Here is a 22072-nt window from a genome sequence, read left to right as displayed (position 1 = left end):
CACAGATGTGTAAATGCACAGAGCCCAAGAGATTGAAAAACATGGTAGGCCAAGATTAGACTGGCTTTAGAAAATGTTCTCCCAAATCAAGATCAGAGTAAGTTAGTTGAAAAGATTATTTTTGATTGCCCAGTAGGGATGAGAACACCCTTCTCACATTTATTCAACAAGCATATCCTAGGGTAGGTGGCGTGTTACATCAGGGACTGTCATATCCTTGGTATCCAACCTCCATGGCTACAGACTGCTGGAAGAGATGAATGTTAGAAATAATTGCACAGATAATCAATGAATCACAATTGGAGTCAATACTACAAAGGGAATGTACACAATTTCAAAAGAACAGAAAAGGGGAGAGTGTCTTATTTATAATCACTCGATCTCAGCAAAGAACAGGTAAAACACATTCAATGATAAATGGGAGAAGAATTAATGAACGAATGAATAAACATGTAAAAAATATCTAGGCCTGTGCGTCTCAATGTTTTTCCACAAAGCCAGTTGGTCATACTTCCCCACAGGCAGACATCAGCACTGGTTCCCTTTCCTTCTTCTAAAAGGCAGTCATATTCCAGAGAACTGGCGTGCTTTCCCACATTCTTATTATTTATCAAACAAAAATAGAAGAGGTTTGTAAATCAGGTTATATAAACATTTCGAGCACAGTCATTCTGCTCTTAGGAGAGATAGCTAACCACACTCTCATAACAAATCCACTTTGATCCCAACATCCCACTTACGACCTCCTAGCACTCTCCATCCAAGAATAACATTAATAATAATCAGCCTATTAGCCAGGGTGCTTGGTTTGAATCCGAAATATTTGAGAAATGATCTTATAAATTATTTTCCAAGGATATCATCTTTAAGCATTAACAGGCACAACTGACACTGAATTCTGGGAATTGAGCATAATTACATGGAAATTGACACGACACAAATGCCAAGAATTCTGTTAACCTTTAATATCTTTTAAAAACTCTCCCCTCATAATTATCTCTTTCCTTTGTCTCAAATGTTACTGATGAATATTTAGAGGTATGAGCAAACAAAAAAAGTGGATGGATTGTGGAATATTGGTCTTTGTTTGGAATCCTAGAGTTTCCCAGGTGTTCCATCAAGAGGTGATAAATAGAATACTTGGAATTTGACTATTTTCAGAAGTTATTTCTACCTTTATATTTGCTCTACTCGAGTTTTCTGCTTATAATTTCCCATGCTGAGTAGAAGCTCCTTTGCATTAGTAATTACAGTAAAAGTGTAGTTCTAAGGCACTGGGTGTCTAACACAATTCCTGACCTGTGCTGTGTCTTTGCAAAAGTCATTGCACCTTTTCAGTGCTTCAGATACCATCTCTGTACAGTGAGTGTGATGACATTTAACTCCAACTGCAACAATATTTGCACAGTGATGTAAACTTTACCAAGGGCATTGCCAACCCTTTGCTCACTGGTAGATCAGTGCCTCTTAATTTTTTTCCTTCTTGCCAGTCTCCAATGCTACCACCAAGGCTCTCTTGCTTTTTTTCTTTCCCCTCTCTCTCTACTCTTTTAATTAAATCCTAACTCATCTCTCTGCTTCCAACCCTGCCTCTGCATTAGTCAGTGCTTCTTAACAGGGGCAGGGCACACTCCTTGGATTGTGGGAGTGGAAAATTGATTGGATATTGGTCACCACCATAATTGGAGAGGTACTGCTGCCGTTTAGTGTACAGAGGCCGCAGAGGTTAGAGACGCAGCAACGCATGGCTATTCAGCCACGGACGTCAAATGCCTGCCAGACATTTAGGTGAGTGAAACCTTTTTCTTTCAAAAATCTAAGCCTAGGCCGGGCGCGGTGGCTCACACCTGTAATCCCAGCACTTTGGGAGACCCAGGTGGGCGGATCACGAGGTCAGGAGATCGAGACCATCCTGGCTAACACAGTGAAAGCCCATCTCCAATAAAAATACAAAAAATTAGCCCGGCTTGGTGGCGGGCGCCTGTAGTCCCAGCTACTCCGGAGGCTGAGGCAGGAGAATGGCGTGAACCCGGGAGGCGGAGCTTGCAGTGAGCTGAGATCACACCACCGCACTCCAGCCTGGGCGACAGAGCCAGACTCCGTCTCAGAGAAAAAAAAAAAAAAAAAAAAAAAGCCTAAAATGTACTCCATTTGGCATGTAAACACAGATATTCTTGCCAGGTTTTAATATTCGCTAATTCTCCAGGAATGCAACTATCCTGCAAGTCAAAGAAAGACTGTGTTTGATTTGTTCACATCTTTACCAAGAAGTGTTCACTAGTTTGAAAAATCACGTACTCAGTGGGAATGTTTCTCATAATATTGAGTCATCAATTAATTCTACATCCTTGTAGCAGGTCTCTACTGTTGCTTAGCTGTCACATTCATGGTGATTCTGCATATAGACGCTTCCATACTTCATTATATCCTATGGGGTAGTTGTATCCAAATATTTATTTTACATTTATATTATTATCAATCATTTTCTATTTATTTCTCCTTCAGATTCAGTCAGACTTTATATAGGTCATTTTTTGAAGTATGTGATAGGTGTTATATGTTATCTGTGAACTTATTTTCTGCACAGTAATGAGGGTATTATAAAATATTTTCAATGATTTTTATGTTAGAAAAAGTTAAGAATAGCAGATGTACGGCATTTCACATGCAGAAGCCAGCTTTATCTTTCTCAGGCAGGGATCAGATGATGTCCTTTACTTATGTAGGAAGTTTCAGTGGCTCCCCCTGCCTATGACATAAAGACCCAACTCTTAAGACTGACAATCAAGAAGTATCCCAAGTTAATTAAATAGTGTTAGTCTTTGTTGTGGCCTCATTTTTGCACTCATGTAACATCCTAGGACCCAATCAACCTGGACTAGACGTTCTTCTTGGAAAGTTGCCCTGCATATCACAAACTGTGTAGATGCTCAGACTTTTGCTCTGCCAAGATGCCCTCCTACCATCCACAGCTTTCTAAATCCTATTCAGGTTTCAAGAACCAGTTCAGATTCTACTTCCTCCATGAAACATTAGTTTAACCAATGCTTCCCATGCCTCTCTTTTCTATTAGTTGAAATCAATTATTTTAAAGGAAATGTATATATATACACACACACACATATATATGTATATTTCACATATATAATGTGAAATAATATATATATATATTTCACAATCTAGAACTCTGTAAATGTGTGTATGTGTATCTACATTGTAATGGACTGTAGATTTGTCTGATCTTACCAACTAGGTTGTAAGCTCTCTGAAGGCAGTTGCCATTTCTTGTTCATTTTTGTACCTGCCCAACACTGAGCAAAGTATATGACCCTGAGTGTGAGTTCAACAAATATCCATTGAAATAAAATGACCTCTCAGTGATTGAGAAAGGTAGTCTAGGTACTATTACCTTTATTTCATGCATGAGAAAACGAAGCTGTAAATGAGTCCTAACAGGTTGTGGTATGCAGAGTGTCAGATGAGGCACACTGTATGGGTGAAATGTATGGTTACTTCCAGCCCATGCCAGGTCCAGGCCTGCACCTGGAAAAGATCTAGAGAGGCTGACCTACATTTCTGCTGCCAGAAAATAAAAATCTTCATTTCCAGATCAGCTTTCCAATACACGGGTTTGGATTTATGGGACTCTATATATCAGTGATGATGGCAACTCTTCCACCTCTTAAAACCTAATCACCGAATAGAGCTGCAGGTTTTCTCTTTTTAAGATATGTTCTCAGCAGAATCCCTCCAGAAATAAGACTTGAGCTTCCCAGAAGCTTCTTCAGGCTTGCCCGGTGTGCAAGGGTCGAGCTTCAGTTACACCCCTTGGCACAGCGCCAGCCTTGGCAGACCCATCCGTCACAGCAAAGCCTGCTCTTCTCCCACACTGCTGGCGTTGGAAATGGAAGTGGCCTTTCAACAGAACATTGTCTTAGGATTGTGTGAAGCAAGGCTGACAGAGAAAGGAAGATTCATTCCTGACACCAATCATACTAGTATCTGTCACCAAAATGACATTTTCCCTTTAATGATGAAAAATGCATCAGGAAAGAGGGAGGAGGATGAACAACCTCCCTGGGCTGCTCTGGTTTGATAGGGAGGAGCCCGGGCTGCTGCTGGTGGTTTGCAATCTGGAGGAGGTGAGGCGATGGACAGCCAGTTGGTCACTGAACAAACACAACTGGTGCTCTGTTTGGAAGCGAAGGGTGCAAGCAGATGGAAGCCTGTGGGTTAGGCAGTGTCACGGCACATCTGACTGATTTCTCATTAGGCCCTTTGCCTGGGGTTTCAATAGAACTGCCTCCATGTCTGTCAGGCCCCAAGCAGAGGCTCAGTACTGCTTTTCAGAGCTGCCATACACATAGTTTACCACATCCAGTTTTGCAGAGCTCATAAATCTTCCCAAGTCTTCACTCCCTTACTTTCTTATGTGGAAGGGCCACAGTGCGGATCCCATATGCACATCCAGGGTGAATCTGTTGGTGGGGATGACCCATGTATGGGTGAAAGTGCCTTTAGGCCAATACTTTATAGACCAAGCCTGAACACATGGAGAGGTGGGGACAGCAGAGTAACTGGCTCGTGTCTCCTAATTAGGCAAGCATGTGGCTGGCGGTTGAAGAGAAGCCGCACAATTGCCCCCAGTGCTCACAGAGTATTTCCCAACAAACACCAGATTGTTATCCAGAAGTCCATTGTTCACAGAGGTGTTCGGTGCTGACTTCTATATAAAATGCCTTTCCCTCTCCTTCCTTCTTTCCTACTGGCAAAGCCTGCCTCCCACAAAAGAAGCTAAAAATGCCAGATATTCACCTTTCTCTCTCTTTTGCAGCTATGCAGGTCACTTTACACAGTAGAAGGACTAGATATTCCTCCTCATCAAAAAGAAACATGCGCCCTCTTCCAGGCCCACTTGATTACTATCTTTGATCATGGTTAGGTGATGGTGTGAGAGATGAAGAAAGGTGGCCACCTTTCACTCATGACACGCAGATCTCACATGCCGAGCATGATGGAGACCAACTCTGAGGTCCTGGGTCCTGGAGGCCATTGCTGAGCATGGACACACCCCACCTCCAGGCTTCCTTGATGCCCTCACTTTTTAAGCATCTGCTGTAAGGGGCTTGATTACTTGCAACCAAAAACATCCAAAGTATTCCATTTCCATTTCCTTGGGAGAAAGATATTTTAAAGCTCTGAAGATGGTACTTTGAGATTCCTTCACTCAGCCCCGAGCTGGTGCTGCTGTGTCCACACGTCTTCTGCCTTCTGCTCCAGCTTTCGTTTATTCCCTCACTCTCATAGACATTGGCAGACCCAGCCTGTTAATGCACCAAGAATAATACTCCTAGAAGCACTAGGGTACTTCTAAAGTTTAATGCTTTCACTATTCTTTGCAACGTTAATTAACACAACACCCCCTCATTAGCTAACCTGCCAACAAAGCAACTCCGAATCATTTTCTTCTTTACGAAGGAGGAAACTGACTCATTTATATACCTGTATTTGCATGAGTGGGCTTCTGGCTCCCCCTCTGCTCCTCCTACATTCTCACTTTCAAATATATTTTAGGCCAGCAATGCTGCAATTTCAAAGGGACTTCACCTAAACAATTGAGCACCCAAAATAATTGATACACTAGTGCACATTTTTAAAATTCTAGCCCTAATACCCAACCCTACCAATAATCCAGACCACAATGTCCACATCCTACATTCGGGCTGAATATGCTGTTCTCCTATAAAGTTCTTGGTTTTTCTGCCTCCTTCTGCCCTTCCAGACAAGGTAGAATCCCCCAACAAGAGCTCAAAGTCCAAAGTGACTTCTTAGCTCCATAAGTGACACTCAGAGCTCTGCTGTAAGGGAGAGAAAGGGTATGCCAAGGCTGTTCCCAGGGAAGAACAGCAGGCTGCAGGAGAAGAGTTTTCTGTCTGGAAGCTGAAATGCTGAGGTGGCCCTGCTGTGGGGCCTTCTGCAATGAGATGCCCCGCTTCACAGTGGATTCTTGTCAGGAGGAGCTCTGGCTCTTTGGGGATGCCGGGCTGGCCTGGGCAAGGTCAAAGCTATGGCTACCCCTCTTGCCCAGTCCACAGTGTCACCTGCTCCTTGACAGGAGAACCTGATGAGCTTGGAGGCAGCAGCGTCTTTAAATTTCCTCCACCCTCAAGTCTGTTAACAAGAGGGCAGCATGTGGCCATCCCGCACCATGCCGACAATGCAGTCAAATGCTCATTAGAGGCACTGGGGGCACCCCACATCTAGTAGAAAATACACAGAGAAAAGTAGGGGGCAAAGCACTGCATGCCTTACTTTTAAATTAGAAATCAGCCAGGGCTTCCTGACAACAAAGGAAATTACACACAGCTGAGAGGAGTGATGCACTATGTGCACACAATTGTAATTCACACGCATTACTTTGTTCATGAAATGGTTGATAAACTTTTGAGAATGAGAAAGATTCTCTCTCTTTGCACGGTTACAATAACCATAATTGATATCAAAATGTTAGATTTGCGGAATAAATTATACTTTATCATGTAATGTAATTCTCACCCAGCTACCCTGTCTAGCAGAACCATGTCCCATTTGACAGATGAGTGAACCAAGCCTTAAATGGGAAGAAGAAGAAGGCGGAGGAGAAGGAGGAGGAAAGAAGAAGAAGAAAGAGGAGGAGGAAGAGGAGAAGGGGAGGAGGAAGAAGAGGAGCAGCTGACAAAGTTCCCATAGTGGAATGTGGAAGACCTTGGTTTCAAATTTAGTCGTCTAACTCCAAATCAGTGTATTTTACTGGGCTGTAGCTTAATAAATACAAGAAGCTACCCTCTCTCCTTGAGAAATACTCCCTAGGCTGTGGCTCATTTTAGAGAGTAAGAAGTGTTTAGATAGGATAACAGAGATAATTTACAAAGGGCAAAAGGAAGACTATGATTCAGGAGCAGACGAATGAGAATCAGAACCATTGTCAAGAATTAGGCCCAGTGAAAAAATGGGACATGTAAAAGAGAGAGAAAGAAAGTCCAAAATGTCTGAGCAATGTAACAGGCCTGCCATTTATCTCACTTCTGAATATCAGAAAAGGCAGCATTTGTTGTCCACAGAAAAATACATGGGATTTATAGACACTGCCAGGCTCAAGGACCAGTGACACAACTCCCACCGCAGAGAGCCCTGTGGGGTGCTTTCCAGTGGCCACTGGTGGAGTGGGCAGAGTCCTCGGGGAACCAGAGGCCTGCTATGCATCTGGAGAGCTGCTTGCTCAGGATGTCATGGCTAAACTCCTTGATCTCTTGGCAGCGTGTGGCCCCGTGAAATGTGCTTCTTCTTTTTGAAAAGGCCTCTTTTTTTGGAAGTCAAGTCACCACACCATTTAGATTCCCCATACTTCTGGACAGCATCTTCCCAAGTGCTTTCCCCAACTTGTGGTCAACCCTGTCTTATACCTCATCTCGATCTCTGTCAATCAACACTATTCACCCCTCAAGACACGCTTCGACTGACTGCCCCCGCAACCCTTCCATGGAGTCCTGTCTTTTGGTCGTCCCAGTGAGAAGGGATCTCTCTCTTCTGAATGCCTGTAATGTTTTGTGTCTCCTATAGCACATTGAACACACTGCCTTCTGATATAGTTGGGTGTCAACATATGGTATCCTCCCTACAAGGGATTAGCTTGTTTCTAAGACCTTAGTCTTTTTATTAGACCAATTTACTTGATAGATGAAAAGACTCATAGAAGTCATCTAAATCAATGTGCCCATGTTGTAGATGAGGAAATGAGCCCTAGAGAGCTGACATAGTCTAAACAAATTCGCACATTCTCCTCTCGCTAGGCTAGAGGAGAGCTGGAATTCATTTGCACCCTGAAATCAGGGACGTGCTTGCCCAGAATGAGGACAGAAAAGGTTGAAGGAATGAATGATTCTGACAAATCCCCTAGACCTGCCATCCCACTGTCAAAAGTGGTTCTGCCAGAGACACAGACAATGAGTAGGGGATCCTCAAGTCAACCTCATCCCAGAGATAACCATCTCACTTAGCATGCGTCCGGGTGGCACCATCAGCAGCACACAGTATCTGTTCCCATCCAAAGAGCTTTTCACGAGGAGCTCGTTCTGAGCTTCTTGATAAGCAACTGGGTAGTGGTGCTATTTTTAATCAGCTGACCAGGGATGAAAGTTGTTCAGAGAATTCTGCTTTCATACATTAGAAAAAAAACCCAGAAAATCAATCTAGCACTAATAAAAGATGATTGAAAATTGCTAATACCAACCAATTGTGAAACTTTGCCTTACAAAAAAGGAGAGCGCTCATGAGTTTCCTCGTCTCCTCTACTGTAAACAACGCACAGGGCTCAGCTCCTACCACTGTCTCCCCCTGCACTCAGCAGGCTGCTGGTGGTTATTACAGGAGGCTGCCTTACCATTAGCACAGCAATGCCAATTAATTGCAGTCATGAGCAGACTTCACATTTAAGGAACCTCACAGCCTGAGCCCTAGCAGCATTTGTAGATTCAGAATGTGTTTAGAAAGCTCTGTTTCCAGGGGGTATGGTGTGTGTCTCTACAAAGAGGGGAAGTCTCTGAGGGTCAGGGGTGAGGTGGATATGTGTGTGTGTGTGTGAGAGAGAGAGAGAGACAGAGAGAGAGAGAGAGAGAGACAGAGAGAGAGAGAGAGAGGGAGAGAGAGGGCCTGTGTGTGCTGTGCATATTTCTGCTATCTTAAAGTAGCCAGGTGCCTTCCTTTGGAGCAGAGAATTGGGTCAGGGAGGAGTGCACTGCTGGAGAGATGAGCTTTGGGTGGGCTGAGAAGGAGGAGTCTCTGTGAACAAGAGAAATGAGACTTTGAATACAAGGGATTTGGGAAAGGAGCTAAATGCATGCCTAAGTAGGAAGTTTCTGAAGGTGGAGGGAGAGGGTTCCTGCAGAGACATCCATCTTTGGTTTTGGAAACAATTTATCATGCAAAAGAGGGATGCTACTGATCCCTCATGCAAAAGAGGGGCGCTACAGTGCTCCATGCCTCTTGGGTTCCTGTACTTTCCTTCCCCCAGTTTCTTCATGAAAACCTCAGATGTGCCTCTCTTTGCACTTCCCACTCTGTTGTTCGTATTCTCTCCTTTCTCTCTATTTGTAAGTGACAGGCGGTGAGGACAAAGTCCCTACTCCTTACTAGGCAAACAGGCTCCACTGAGTCTGTTGTTTAGAACCTTGTGGAAGTCCTGAAACAAACCCTAAAAGGAGCACTGTTTTCCCTTGAGGACCTTCTAATGTATTTTTTTTTAAAGGCCCACACACTGGGCCGTCAAAGTCACATGCAATATGACAAAGTGGGTAATTATGTTTTGCTTAGCACACATCAAAGGAACAAATGGCTGGAGAGTGGTGTGTGCTGTGCACTCAGGCGTGATGTGTGAGGCCAGCCTGGCTGGGGGTATGGGCTGGGGTGTGGCCATCAGAGCCCAGGCTGGCCCTCTGGTCCCCTACCTTAAAAGGAAGGAGGCTGTGAGACTTACTTCAATCTGGGAGCTGAAGTGGAATCTGCCTGGCCTGTATCTTATGCTCCTTTGTTTGGTTTGCATGGAAACCTGTGTTTATGGGGAAACTCCAGGCCTGCTTGCTACAGACAGATGTTTCTGATCTCTGTCCCTTATCATGTTAAGAATGTTCCTTTTGGGAGATGAACCATCATTTTATTTTCTCTTGCACTGGTGCAGGAGATGGAAATAAATTACCAACACTTCCTAAAATCCGGACGCTCCCTTTGGAAGTGGGTGACTCCAAGCAGCCTTTGACAAGGGACTCATTTAGCACTCAATGCTGCTGCAGCTCAATGAAAAGAGAGGCTGCACCGAAGGTACAAATTATGTCCACGGTCCTTGTCACTGGTAAAATAAAAAAAAAAAAAATAAAGAGGAATAAAGCTAGATTCTATGTCGCCGATGCCGAGACCAGGCTCCTCTTTAAATGCAGGAGGTCTTCATCTCATCTCCCCTTCCCTCTACCTACCCCACAGGCTGGAAAAACTTGTCACTTTAAAATTTAATTATATAAAATCCTGCTCCCTTTACCCCCTGTGGATGAGCAATTGTTCTGCTATTTCTATAAGACGCCACAGGAAATATGAAAATAGGAGGCAGGATTTGGAGCAAGACTGTTCCTGAATGCCTGTGGTTAGCAGCGTCAGAGATGGCTGTGAGGATTTTACATCTGCGACAAGGAAGTGGAAGGAGGAGGGAGAAAGAGTGGGAAGGCAGGTACCACAAGAGACCTGTCTCGGGATGCTGCAGTGACCTTTGACCTGAAGGAACCAAACCTGGGGCTGAACCGAAAGGAGAACAGCCCTCACCTGTGCCAAGCTCACTTCCTAAGGCAGGAGATCCGGGCTGGCAGATGGGTCAAAATGAGTCATGAGCTGGAGGGGAATGAACGACGCATTTCTCCGCAGTGTGAAATGCCCTCTCCAAAACAGGCCGGGTGGTATCCATGGTCTCATTCATTCTTTTTTTGTTTTTTTGAGATCGAGTCTCACTCTGTCGCCGAGGCTGGAGTGTAGTGGTGCAATCTCAGCTCACTGCAACCTCCACCTCCCGGGTTCAAGCGATTCTCCTGCCTCAGCCTCCCGAGTAGCTGAAACCACAGGCGCACGCCACCATGCTTGGCTAAGTTTTGTATTTTTAGTAGAGACAGGGTTTCACCATATTAATCAGGCTGGTCTCGAAGTCCTAATTTCAGGTTATCCACCCAGCTTGGCCTCGTAAAATATTCTTTAACCAAATATTTTACTGGAAAGCAGTTTTGAGTAGCAACTCAAAGTATAGGCACTGAAGCCAGAAGCTGAGATTTCAATCATGGCTCCTTCACTTACTAAAGGGATTAATGTGGCAAGTTACTCTCTTCTTGCCTTGGTTTTCTCATCTGTAAACTGAAGATGACAATAATAGTACCTTCTTCATATAAAGTGCCTAGAACAGTGCTATCATAATCATCTGATAAGCCACCACAATATAGCAAATACTGAACTAGATACAAGGACAACAGTGCAGTAGGAGGTCCTGTGCTTGCATTCTGGTGGCTCATAACTTAATGGGGAAGATAGATGTGTATACACATTACCTACAGTGCGATGGGAGCAAAGAGAGTGGCATCTAACAAGTCTGAAATTTTGAAGATGAGTCCATCTAAGGATCAAAGGATTTGGGAACACTTAGCAGAAGAGATGGATCTGTAGTTTTTTTAGAATTGGTAGGAAGTTACCAATTGGAGAGCGGAATCAGATAATTTGTAGCACACAACAGAAAGAACAAAGAAGCTGAGGTTTAAGGCATCTTGGCCTGTTTGGTAAGACACAGTGAAAAGTGACTTGTGCCTGAAGAATGGCAGGAGAAGAAGCCAGAAAGAAGCCCACAAGGCTCGCTAGACAGTTTGGGTTTCATTGTGTTAGAAATCAGGATTCACTGAATTTCCTGTTTTGTTTTTGTTTTTGTTCCCAGGCACTCAGTCTTTTCATTTTCTTCAGCTTTATTGAGATATAATTGACAAATAAAACTGTATATATTCAAGGTGTACAACATGATGTTTTGATGTAAGTATGCATTGTGAAGTGATTGCCACAATTAAGCTAATTAACATATCCATCACATCACATAGTTACCTCTTTTTGGTGTGTGTGACAAAAATACTTACAATCTAATCTGTTAGAACATTTCAAGTGTACAATACATTGTTATCAACTGTAGTCATCATGCTGTACGTTACTTCTCCAGAACTTATTCATCAGGGGCTTTAGAGCTATACTGATGGGGGTTTTACCAGCTGCCTATTTGACCTTAGACAAGGTGTAAAATGAGAATGGTAGTGCTCGCTTGCGGAGCTACTATGAGGATTAAATGAGACAATGCACAGAACAGTGCCTAACGCACAGTAGGCACTCTATCAATGAGAGGTCTTAGTATCATCCCAGCGGGACAGATAAAGACCAGCAAGCCCTTCCTCAGGGATGTATGGAGACACAGCGTCCCTTCCTCCCTGCTAAAAAGCACAGAAACATCGTTAGCAAAGCTTGGCTCTGTCATCTTACCAGGGTAATGGTCAGAGCTTTGTAGGAAAGCTCCCTCAAGCTCCCTGGCCTCTGCAGGGATCTCACCTGAATCTCTAGTGTAGCCCTGCACCTGGGAAACAGAAGGAGACACAAGCAAACAGCAATCCCTGCCGAGTTAGCAAGACAGCAGCCACCAAATGGACAGTTTACTCTATAAACACAAGAGGCGTGCCTCAGACCCAGTTAGAAGGGATCTTTTTAGAGGTAGAGTGCAAATATGAGCAAAAGTGACTCAACTCAGGACTGGATAATGAACTGCTGCCCCAGCAAAACCATTGCATCCCCAGGTGGGGAACGGGGAAGAGGCTCCCAAGCCAAGGCAGTCTCCTCCACAGCCTGCCTGGGCAGAGAATTTCATTGAGGAGGATGAAGCCACAGGAATTAGAGACAGCCAGGAGGTCCAAGGCCCTTCCATTGCCAGTGGGAGTGTGGGGGCTTGGTTTTATTAAATAGAAGCTGGTGGTTTTCATGGCGTGAACCATTACAAACAGATGCATGGCAGGGAAGGATGGCTAGAAAGCATTTAACCAGGACAGAGTGAACTGGACAGGATTAAATCAAACTCAGGCACTGGCTTCACTGAGCCTTGCTTGTGCCTGGCTTGCCCTCAGAGAACGGCAAGGTTGAAACTGTACTGGTTGGCAGGGCTGGTGGGGAAGAGAGGGGTCTCTTGGGAAAACTAGGAGATTGAAGGAAAGGCAGGGAGTCAGGTGCTTAATCTTCCAGGTATTAATCCACTTTCTTTCTCCCTGGGTGGAAAAGAATGAACCCAAGAGCCTTCCAAGGCAGAAATCAGAGTGACGTACCCCACTTTCTCGTACCTTGCTGTCTCATCAACTACACCTCTCTGGTCTTCAGTGGCCACCATGTGCAGCCTTCCTAAGCAGAAAGTCTGCTCACACTTGCACTGGAGATAAGGAACCTGGGCCCCAGGGAGCCCTGTCCCATCAGGGAGCCTCTTGTATCAAATGTATCTAGTTATTCCATAATTCAACCGCGGCCTCAGTACAAAAAGCTCCTTTGTTGTGGTGGCTGATAATGCAATGAGACTCCTTCCCCTCTGTGAACTAATGACGTTTGTGGGGAGATGACAGGTGGGTATGAAAATGGAATTGGATGGGGTGGGGGCAGGCTCTGGCTCTGCTCCTTGCTCTTGCAGTTTCTGCTGCTCAGCCCCTGAGGAAGAGCGTGGGATGCTATTAGCCTGTGCATCGGGATTTTCATCTAATTTCATAATGAAGACGTTGCTCCATCAGATACAGACGACATGTCAGCAGAAATGCAAAAGGCCATTTTTATGTGTCAGCTGGCTCTCCACGGGGCCCCCACCTGCCCGCAGTTGTGTAGCCAGTGCAGGCTTGAGGGAAGGGCTCCACCATGCTAGATTGGTTCTCACAGATATGCCGGATCTCTCTTCCCTTTATCACCTTTTCCTCTCCAGCTGGAAGCCCTGTGAGGGCAGGAGTCTTTGCCTGTTTGCTGTTGTATACCCAGTGCCTGGAATGCATTAGGTGCTCAGCTTGGATGAATGAATAAACCCTACCCTCTCTGCTTCCCGGGTGAGGTGTGGTGTCCAGTCTTCACAGACCTGCAGACCTACTCACTCCTCAGAGCCGTGGCCTCTGTCAACCCTGCTCTACTCTGAGGCTCTTCTTTACATTAGGATGAGGGATTACACTGCTTGACCCAAACCGTGGGTCTCAGCATCAGCTGTTACCCAGCTGTAATGCTGGGCTCTTGCTCTGCAAAGTTCTGTGCCTCAGCTAATAGAGCCACTAACTGCCCCTGCCTCATGGTATGCTGTGAAGGTTGAATGCACCTAAAGGGCTAAGAGTAGCCCTGACACACAGGAAGCACTCAAGAATTATTAACCATTGTATTCTACAAAAGAGCCTTTGTCTTCTTTCCCCGTACAGAAGTGTTTTGTCCCAGGAACCCACAGGTGACATAGTTCCTATGGGATTTGTCAATCACCAGCTCAAGATAGGATGGCGAGCCTCTTCCCGAATGGCCCCCTTTCCATGATTTCCGATCACTGTGTGCTCTTCTTGGTGTTTCCCCTGGGACCCGTGTTTCCCTGTGCTAGACCCAAGGATTGTTTATTTGTGGAATGTCATAGTGGTTACAGGCGGTACTTCCTCCAGATGCCCAAAGCTACATGGCCGCTGTGGTGTGGGAGTTCAGAACACTGTTTCTGGAGCCACAAACCTCAGCTCTGCCCTATTCTAGCTATGAGACCTGGGAATATTAAAACCTTCTAACTTTTTAGTGTTGCTGTTTCTTTTTTCTTTCTTTTTTTTTCTTTTTGAGATGGAGTTTTGCTCTTGTTGCTCAGGCTGGAGTGCAATAGCGCGATCTCTGCTCACTGCAACTTCTGCCTCCCGGGTTCAAATGATTCTCCTGCCTCAGCCTCCCGAGTAGCTGGGATTACAGGCATGCACCACCATGTCCGGCTAATTTTGTATTTTTAGTAGAGATAGGGTTTCTCCATGTTGGTCAGGATGGTCTCAAACTCCCGACCTCAGGTGATCTGCCCGCCTCAGCCTCCCAAAGTGCTGGGATTACAGGCATGAGTCACCATGCCCAGCCAACTTTTTAGTGTTTTTATCCATAACATGGGGACTCTACTAGCATCTAGTCTGTAGGGTTGCTGTACAGATTAAATGAGTTTATCCCTGTGAAGGGCTTAGAATAGCTCCTGTCACCTATTAAGGATTCAGTAACTATTAAATATTATTATTTGTAGCTATCATATGGCCACTTCCTCCCCCAGTGCACACAAACATGCATCCCTTTAATAAAAGAAAAGTCAAGACCCACTCCCATTCAATGCCATCTGGCCATGAAAAGCAGGGCTTGTCCACGTACAAAGATATGATGCTGCCCTTTCTACTTTTAGGGGGTGGTAGGGGAGTGAAGTTTACCTTGAAAATCAACTACAGCCTCCTGCCTTTGAAGGAGTAGGGAAACCACGCCTGGTTTTGGTGCTGGCTTGTCATCTTCCCTCTACCACCTTTTGCTTTAATATTTCAGACACCGAGTTCGTAAACTAAGCCAAAGAGAATGTGCACGGTATGGGGGTCAAACCAACTGAGTCTGAGCCTTGATTCTGCCACAAATTAGTTGTGTCGCAAAAAGAAAATCACTCCTCTCTAGACTTCAGTTTCTTCATTTGAACAGTGATGGCGCTATATACCTGGTGCTGTTTTTTCTCTCTCCCTCTCTGTTAATTTAGAGGCTCTGTGACTATGGCCATAACTCAAAGGTGTCTGAGAATCTCTCTGTGATCTGGACAGGCTCTGGCTCTGGATGCCTTGAGAGAGAAGAGGTGACCTACTTGTAGACAAGTGGCCATGATTTCCGTTTGGATTTTGTGGCATCATGATGGAGAAGCCCACCAGTTCCCCGTCTCCAGCTTTGGGAAGGAGACTGGAGATAGCGTGACCTTTGAATATGAAATATTCGTGTTTTGACTTTTCCTTTTTAATTATTAGAAGATGCACTATAATTGGCATGAAAAGGTTATGTCCTGATGTGTAAGTCTTGACAAGTAGCAAACAGCCCAAGAAAAAAATCTTTGATTTTCTCATTCATGGGGACGGTTTGAGTCATATTCTGGGTGTGAGGCTACGGAGCACAGAAGTCCTTTTGGCAGGTGCTGCCATCTTTTCCTTCCTCAGTAGAAATGTGCACTCAGGATATGTCATCAACTTTATGTCATGGGGAGTGTGACTGCTTGTGCTTTTTGCACAGCCTGATCTTTCTCCTCAACCCATTCATTCGTTATTTTCCTGAACTTTTTTGACCTATTCCCTATTTTCTCAGGAAAAGAAAAAAAAACAGTGAAGTAGAAACTCCTACCTTTTATCAATTGCTCATTGCAGCAAGCCTAAATGTTTAAATATGGTAAATAAGATCTCTTGAATTAAGCTAAGAGTTGCCTGCCTCAGAACCCATCACAAATAAGCAGAGAATATTTGTTCCCTTTCTTTTTCTATCCAGCAGATACATCATTCCTCACCGGAATTGTGAATTGAATTTTCCCTCAACTTCTCCCATCATGGAAGGCTCAGTCCAAACCCCACTCTCTTCACGAGATACTCCGAATGTAAAGAGAGCAGTATTTAGCACCAGTGTGATGAAGTAACTTCTCTATCATGTTGTGACGGTTAATTTTATGTGTCCACATATCTGGGCCACAGCATCCAGATATTGGATTAAATATTATTCCAGATGTCATGGGCAGGTGTTTTTAAATGAGATTAACATTTAAATCCATGAACTGTCAGTAAAGCAGATTACTCTCCATAACAGGGGTGAGCCTCATCCAATCAGTTGAAGGTTCTAATAGAAAATGACTAACCTGCCTTGAAGATGAGGGAATTCTGCCAGCCAGAGGACCTGAGCTGGGACACCAGCTCTTCCCCGTTGGCCCATCTTGTAGATTTTGAACTTGCCGGTCTCTGTAATTCCATTAACTAGTTGTTCAAATCTCGCTCTTTCACATAGATAGATAGAAAGACACACACACATACATACACATACACACATACACCCTATTGATTACCAACTCTGATTCTCTAGATAATTCTGACTAATGTACATATGTATTCTGCTGTTATCCTTTTCCTACAGGCAAGACACTCACTTGGGCCCTTTGTTGGAATATATCCTTCCTCTGTGAAGCTCTTCCTGGATTTCACCCTATTTTCTAAATCGCAATTAATTGATGTTAGGCAAAGAGAAGAAAGTTGTGTGACATTGTTCTCTACTGGAGAGGGAGATGGGCACAGCACACCCTTTGGTCAGCCCCGCAACCTTCTGTCCTGCAAGTGCTGTGCCTGTACTTGGAATAGCAATTTGCATCCACAGCCCTGTCTCTTCAAGAATGCAGGTCACTTCTCATCTTCACCTGTCCTGTTCCCCCATTACTCCTCAGTAGTGAAGAGTAGGTAGACAAGGTACTCAATAATTGGAGAGAAACAAATTGTAGGCTGAAAATATGACAACCCTATAGCCTTTTTGGTACTTCCTAAGTGGGGATATCTTTCTCTCTTCTAAATGCCCTTACTGCATTTTTCAGCTTTTCTTAGTGGAGGAGTAAAATGCTGCCTCACACTCTTTCTGTCTGTGCACTTTTTCCGCTGTGTTTTGCATGCTGGTGTCCACAAAGTATTGGCTGCTCCTCTGCGTCAAAGCTTTGGGGGGTGTGTGTGTGTGTGTGTGTGTGTGTGTGTGTAACTGAGAGCTCACAATTACATTTTAGGTAGATTTTATTATCCCCAATCTGAAATTCTGTAGGGTCAAGTCAATGACCCCGATCATTAAAAACTGACCAATCCGGGACTGGAACTCGGTGTTTCTGATTTCAAATCCATGTACCTTTCACTACTGAAGTGCTCCCTCAAACCGTTGAGAGGAGGGTGGTAAGGAAAAGTTCTATTTGCCTATGTCCTTATTGTCTTAATTTCTCATATTAAGCACTCAACGCGTGTGAATGAGGGCAATGGAATGGAAGACAAATCACAAACAATAGAGCCCAGACTTGGTTGGACACAGCTGAGCGAAGGCCTCCTTAGGAAATGAGCCATGAAACCAGGGTGGAAACTATGGACATTTGTGTAGGAAAGCAGACCATGGGGGAATACACTGATTCCTCTCCATAGGAAGGTTCTGGCAAGTTCCATGAAGACACACATTCAGAAAGTAGACAATAATTTAAGCAGTAATGGTTACCACTGGAATGTTGTTTCAGTGGTGGCTAATATCTTTTAAGCATCTGACTGTTCCCTACCTGCCAAATGTAGTTCAGGAGCCCTATATCTTTGCATATGGGATTAGCACCTATCAGAGTTTAGAATTAGTTATCATGAATTCAGCTAACCCCAGCTTTGGGGGCAAAAGAAAAAAAAAAAGAGTGAGATTTGGAATTTATCCTTCCAGGTGCCACAAGGAACTGAACCAGAGGAATTTGTTTCCTGAACAGCCAGGCTATAAATTGAACGCCGGAGGCAAATGAGAGTGTGTATATGTCATCCTAAGAATATAGATAACAACCAGAAAGCTGTGGGTTAGCCCTGTGACCCTTGAATCGAGCAGGAATTCTTTCCAATGCCTTTATCATGCTTCTGTCCCTGGTACCTGGCACTGGACTCCCAAGTCCAGAGCCCTGGGCAGGAAACTCTCTGTGTGAGGAGCTTCTCTGCTAATCCCCAGCTTAAACTTTCTCTTCCTCAGCTTTAAGCTAGTGCTCCTTGTCCTAGCACCTGCTGAGCAAATGAACAATTCCCTTCCCTCATTTGCATTGTTACCTTGAAGGTATTTATAGCCTGTGATTATCTGCCCCTTGAGTCCTCTCCTTCTCTAGCCTATAATTCAGCATTAGATCCAGGTCTGTTTGCTGTGGAACTGAGCATGACTAGGAGTTCTGCTGCCAGAGCCAGCACCAGCAAGGGCTGCAGCCTCCTTAAGGCTTCAGCAGTGGTTCAAAAAAGGAGAAAAAAGTCAATCTCAAAACTAGTCTTCTTGGTTCGATTTATTGAGAGTTTTATGACTTATCTGCTGGGTCGGAAGAGATTTAGCCATTTGCCAAGATGGCTGTGTGCACATGTGTGTTTGTGCATGTGGGAGAGGGTAGGGAGGCGGAATAGAAAGAAGAAAGTTGATGTTTCGATGTCTCCAGCCTCTTATCTCCTGTCCACTATGGCTCTATGCAGTAAAATCTATTGTAATCCTTGAAGGTGGTAAAAGCAAAAAGCAAACCAACAATTGCAAACACTACACAGACAAACACAAAACTTCTAACACCCCACTTTTTATAACAGATAATTATTTCAACTCTTCAAGATTCTAAGGCCACAGACCATTGAAACATAAAGAAGACTATATATGGAATCTAGGAAGAGGAAAGGAATTTGGGACAACTATTTAAGACTGCAAGAGAAGAGCCACAGCTTGAGCCAAGGATTTTTTGGAAGTTTATCCACAAGACCTCAGGAGCTAGATTCCAATCTTTCTGATTCAAAGGTGACAAAAAAATCAATATTTTTCAAATAAGTATTTTTTTCAAAAAATTAATATGTTTTGATTTTGAAGCCAGTCATGTTTTTCCCAAGACATTATAGTGCTACAAAGCTGACGAGCAGGACTATTTTCCATTCCACCTTTCTGAAACCCTCGATTTTGCTTTATATTCTTGAATTCACCTAATAAGTTTACTTCAGTTTAAAAGTAAGAGTGTTGAAGATTGGTGGTTGGGAGTGGGGCTGTCATCATTAAGATGACCCAAAATTTCAATGTTTTTATGTTGTTTCCAGAAAAAGTTGTCCATACAGTGGAAAAATCTGGCAGTCTCTAACTTGACCCAGGAATCAGGTTTAACATCACTGCGGGACGGGTGGACGCTGTGCTTCCTGATGTGAAGGCCCCCAAGAAAGCACAGCATCACTTCTGTGATGTTTCCACCCAGATGCACCCCTGGGATGGGCCATAGTAAAAGGTGGAAAGATCCAGGTTCGAGGTCATTTTACAGAATGAGAAGCCTGAATACACATGAAGTTTGCTGAGAGGTAGGAGGAGACCAAGGAACTGCTCTGGATTGAAGGAGACTGTAGGTTATGATAACTGAATTCAGTGTGTTCCTGGGAAGGATTCTGGCCCAGAAAGGAAAAAGAGCCATTGTCAGGATGGATGACAAAAGCTGAGTGAGTTCCGTGGATTGGAGGTGGTATTGACATCAGTGTCAATTTCCTGATTGGCAGCGTACATAGTGGCAAGGAAGTGAGAGCCGTTACTCCGGGGAGGTGAACACTGGAGTATTTAGGGGTGGTGGGAACTCCTCTTAGGCAAAGATCTTCCCCTCTCACTTTATTTTAAGAGAGAGTCATCGTTAAAGAGATATTACTCATGAGTGCAGCATCAGCCAGCACTGAGAAAGACCAGCTTATATGAGAGTGAGACATCCCTATTTTTCCTGTCTAAAGAATAAAAATGGCAATGGCTATGACAGAGAGGTAGTGCAAGATTTAATGAAATAATATCTGTAGGCTGTAAAGTGCTGTATGAACATAAGACATTATATATATATATATATATATATATATATATATATATATATATATATTTTTTTTTTTTTTTTTTTTTTTTTTGAGATGGAGTCTCCCTCTGTCACCTAGGCTGGAGTGCAGCGGTGCCATCTCGGGTCACTGCAACCTCTGCCTCCTGGTTTCAAGCAATTCTCCTGCCTCAGCCTCCTGAATAGCTGGGAGGCATGCGCCACCATGCCTAGCAAATTTTTGTAGTTTTAGTAAATACAGACGGTGTTTCACCATGTTGGCCAGGCTGGTCTCGAACTCCTGACCTCAGGTGATCCATCTGCCTCAGCCTCCCAAAGTGCTGGGATTACAGGCGCCAGCCACCATGCCAGGCCAAGACATATTTTTTATTAAAGAAAAGATCAGGAGCTTAACAGGGTAAGTCCATCCTTCCAAGCAAAATGATCAAGCATGCTGGCCTCGCTTTGAATCCCACTTCGGTTTCTTCCCTCCCGAGCTTTCTTCCTGTCCCCAACTCTAGGCACAACCCCCTTCTCACAGGATGTCTCTTTATTACAGAATCCCCAAACTCAATGAGGACACGTTTTCCTCCCGAGAACAGCAGAATGGTAACAAAGAACACATGAAAAGAAAATGCTTTCAAGGACCAAAGGAATTCATCTACAAATATGGAATTTCCAGCATGGAAGTCAGTGACAAAGCCCTGGCATACCCCCATCGCAGGTGTCGTGAGAACACCGTCCAGTGGGACGAGGCCAGCCCTGCCCTGAGAAGCTGAGATTCCCACCCCACCTGGAGGGAGCTGAGCACCCTCACAGCAACTCTGAGCCCCTGACTCCAAAGGAGACTCTTCTCCTGTGGTATCAGACGTAGAGGGCGGGCTCCCTTAAAGTAAAATTCCACAACAGGGCAGTAGAAAGATGCAATGAAACATATACGAGTTATTAAATATTGTCATCAAGATGAGTAATAAATCAGACATTTTATGGTTTCTGATTATAAATTCCATTTATTCCATAAGTGTTTAAAGAAAGAAAAATGGAGACCCAACAGAGATTTAAGCCTGCCCGAGATGGGTATATTTCATGATTGCTTTGTGACTGCTGCATCCTGGGTGGAATAGGGGTGGGGGAGATACAAAAGGGCCCTCTCAGGGCCAGGAAGAATGAATTGCTGGGTTTCTGCGGCTCTGTGAGTGCATTCATTGTCATGTGAGACTCTTCCTAAGAATTCTTTTGAAGTCAGGAATTCTGGCCAGGTTCCTGGTGGACACACTCTTGAAGATAGCCTACTCCTTCAAATCCCAAAACCAACTTAAACAAGAGGCCAGGCGAGAAAAGCCAACGTGGGGAGACTCCATAGGTCCTGGCAGGTGGCACTGAACAATGCAGATCCTTAACAGGAGGGAGGAGATGAACTGTCCCAAAGAGTGGCTGCTGCAGATCAGGGAGCTGGGCACAATCCCAGCACAGCAAGTGTTCATTCAGTAAAAAGTATGCCTTGGGGCCTGGCGCAGTGCCTCACGCCTGCAATCCCAGCACTTTGGGAGGCCGAGGTGGGTGGATCACTTGAGGCAGGGAGTTCAAGACCAGCCTGGACAGCATGGAGAAACCCCATCTCTACTAAAAACACAAAAATTACTTGGATACGGTGGCTCATGCCTGTAATCCCAGTTACTTGGGAGGCTGTGGCACAAGAATTGCTTGAACACAGGAGGCAGAGGTTGCAGTGAGCCAAGATGGCACCACTGCTCTCCAGCCTGGGTGACAGAGTGAGACTCTGTCTCAAAAAAAAAAAAAAAAGTTATGCTTTGTGTTCATAAAACTATGCCTTCTCCTCATATAGTACTTTACAGTTTACAGGTGTTATTTCATTACATTTTGCACTACGGTTCTAGCATAGCCATTGTTATTTTTATTCAC

General features: G+C 44.4%; 1 protein-coding gene and 1 long non-coding RNA gene across 24 annotated transcripts in view, besides 3 other annotated features; one reads left to right on the top strand and one right to left on the bottom strand.

Annotated features, from left to right (window-relative positions):
* Positions 1 to 22072, bottom strand: part of NTM (neurotrimin) — a 966208-nt gene that overhangs the window by 438010 nt on the left and 506126 nt on the right. The gene's annotated exons all lie outside the window — the stretch shown is intronic.
* On the top strand, positions 1480 to 21146 carry NTM-AS3 (NTM antisense RNA 3). Of its 2 annotated transcripts, none has more exons than NR_199062.1 (2): positions 1480 to 1788; positions 20709 to 21146. It is a non-coding gene; the product is annotated as an NTM antisense RNA 3 (long non-coding RNA). The 2 variants fall into 2 exon arrangements; NR_199063.1 differs by lacking the exon at positions 20709 to 21146 and adding an exon at positions 6560 to 6821.
* Positions 4300 to 4349: a silencer, noted in NCBI's record as "silent region_4084". NCBI's record gives its function as "represses an Ori minimal core promoter by ATAC-STARR-seq in GM12878 lymphoblastoid cells {active_cell/tissue: GM12878}" and the evidence as "EXISTENCE:reporter gene assay evidence [ECO:0000049][PMID:35858748]".
* Positions 5748 to 5887: an enhancer, noted in NCBI's record as "active region_5760". NCBI's record gives its function as "activates an Ori minimal core promoter by ATAC-STARR-seq in GM12878 lymphoblastoid cells {active_cell/tissue: GM12878}" and the evidence as "EXISTENCE:reporter gene assay evidence [ECO:0000049][PMID:35858748]".
* Positions 9067 to 9960: an enhancer, noted in NCBI's record as "NANOG-H3K4me1 hESC enhancer chr11:131758747-131759640 (GRCh37/hg19 assembly coordinates)". NCBI's record gives its function as "activates a minimal SCP1, AML or CMV promoter by ChIP-STARR-seq in naive H9 embryonic stem cells {active_cell/tissue: H9 hESC(naive)}" and the evidence as "EXISTENCE:reporter gene assay evidence [ECO:0000049][PMID:30033119]".

Source organism: Homo sapiens, chromosome 11 (assembly GCF_000001405.40).
Source record: "Homo sapiens chromosome 11, GRCh38.p14 Primary Assembly".
NCBI classification, from domain to species: Eukaryota; Metazoa; Chordata; class Mammalia; order Primates; family Hominidae; genus Homo; species Homo sapiens.
The sequence above is the reverse complement of the archived record's forward strand: the minus strand, read 5'-3'. Positions and strand labels throughout refer to the sequence as shown.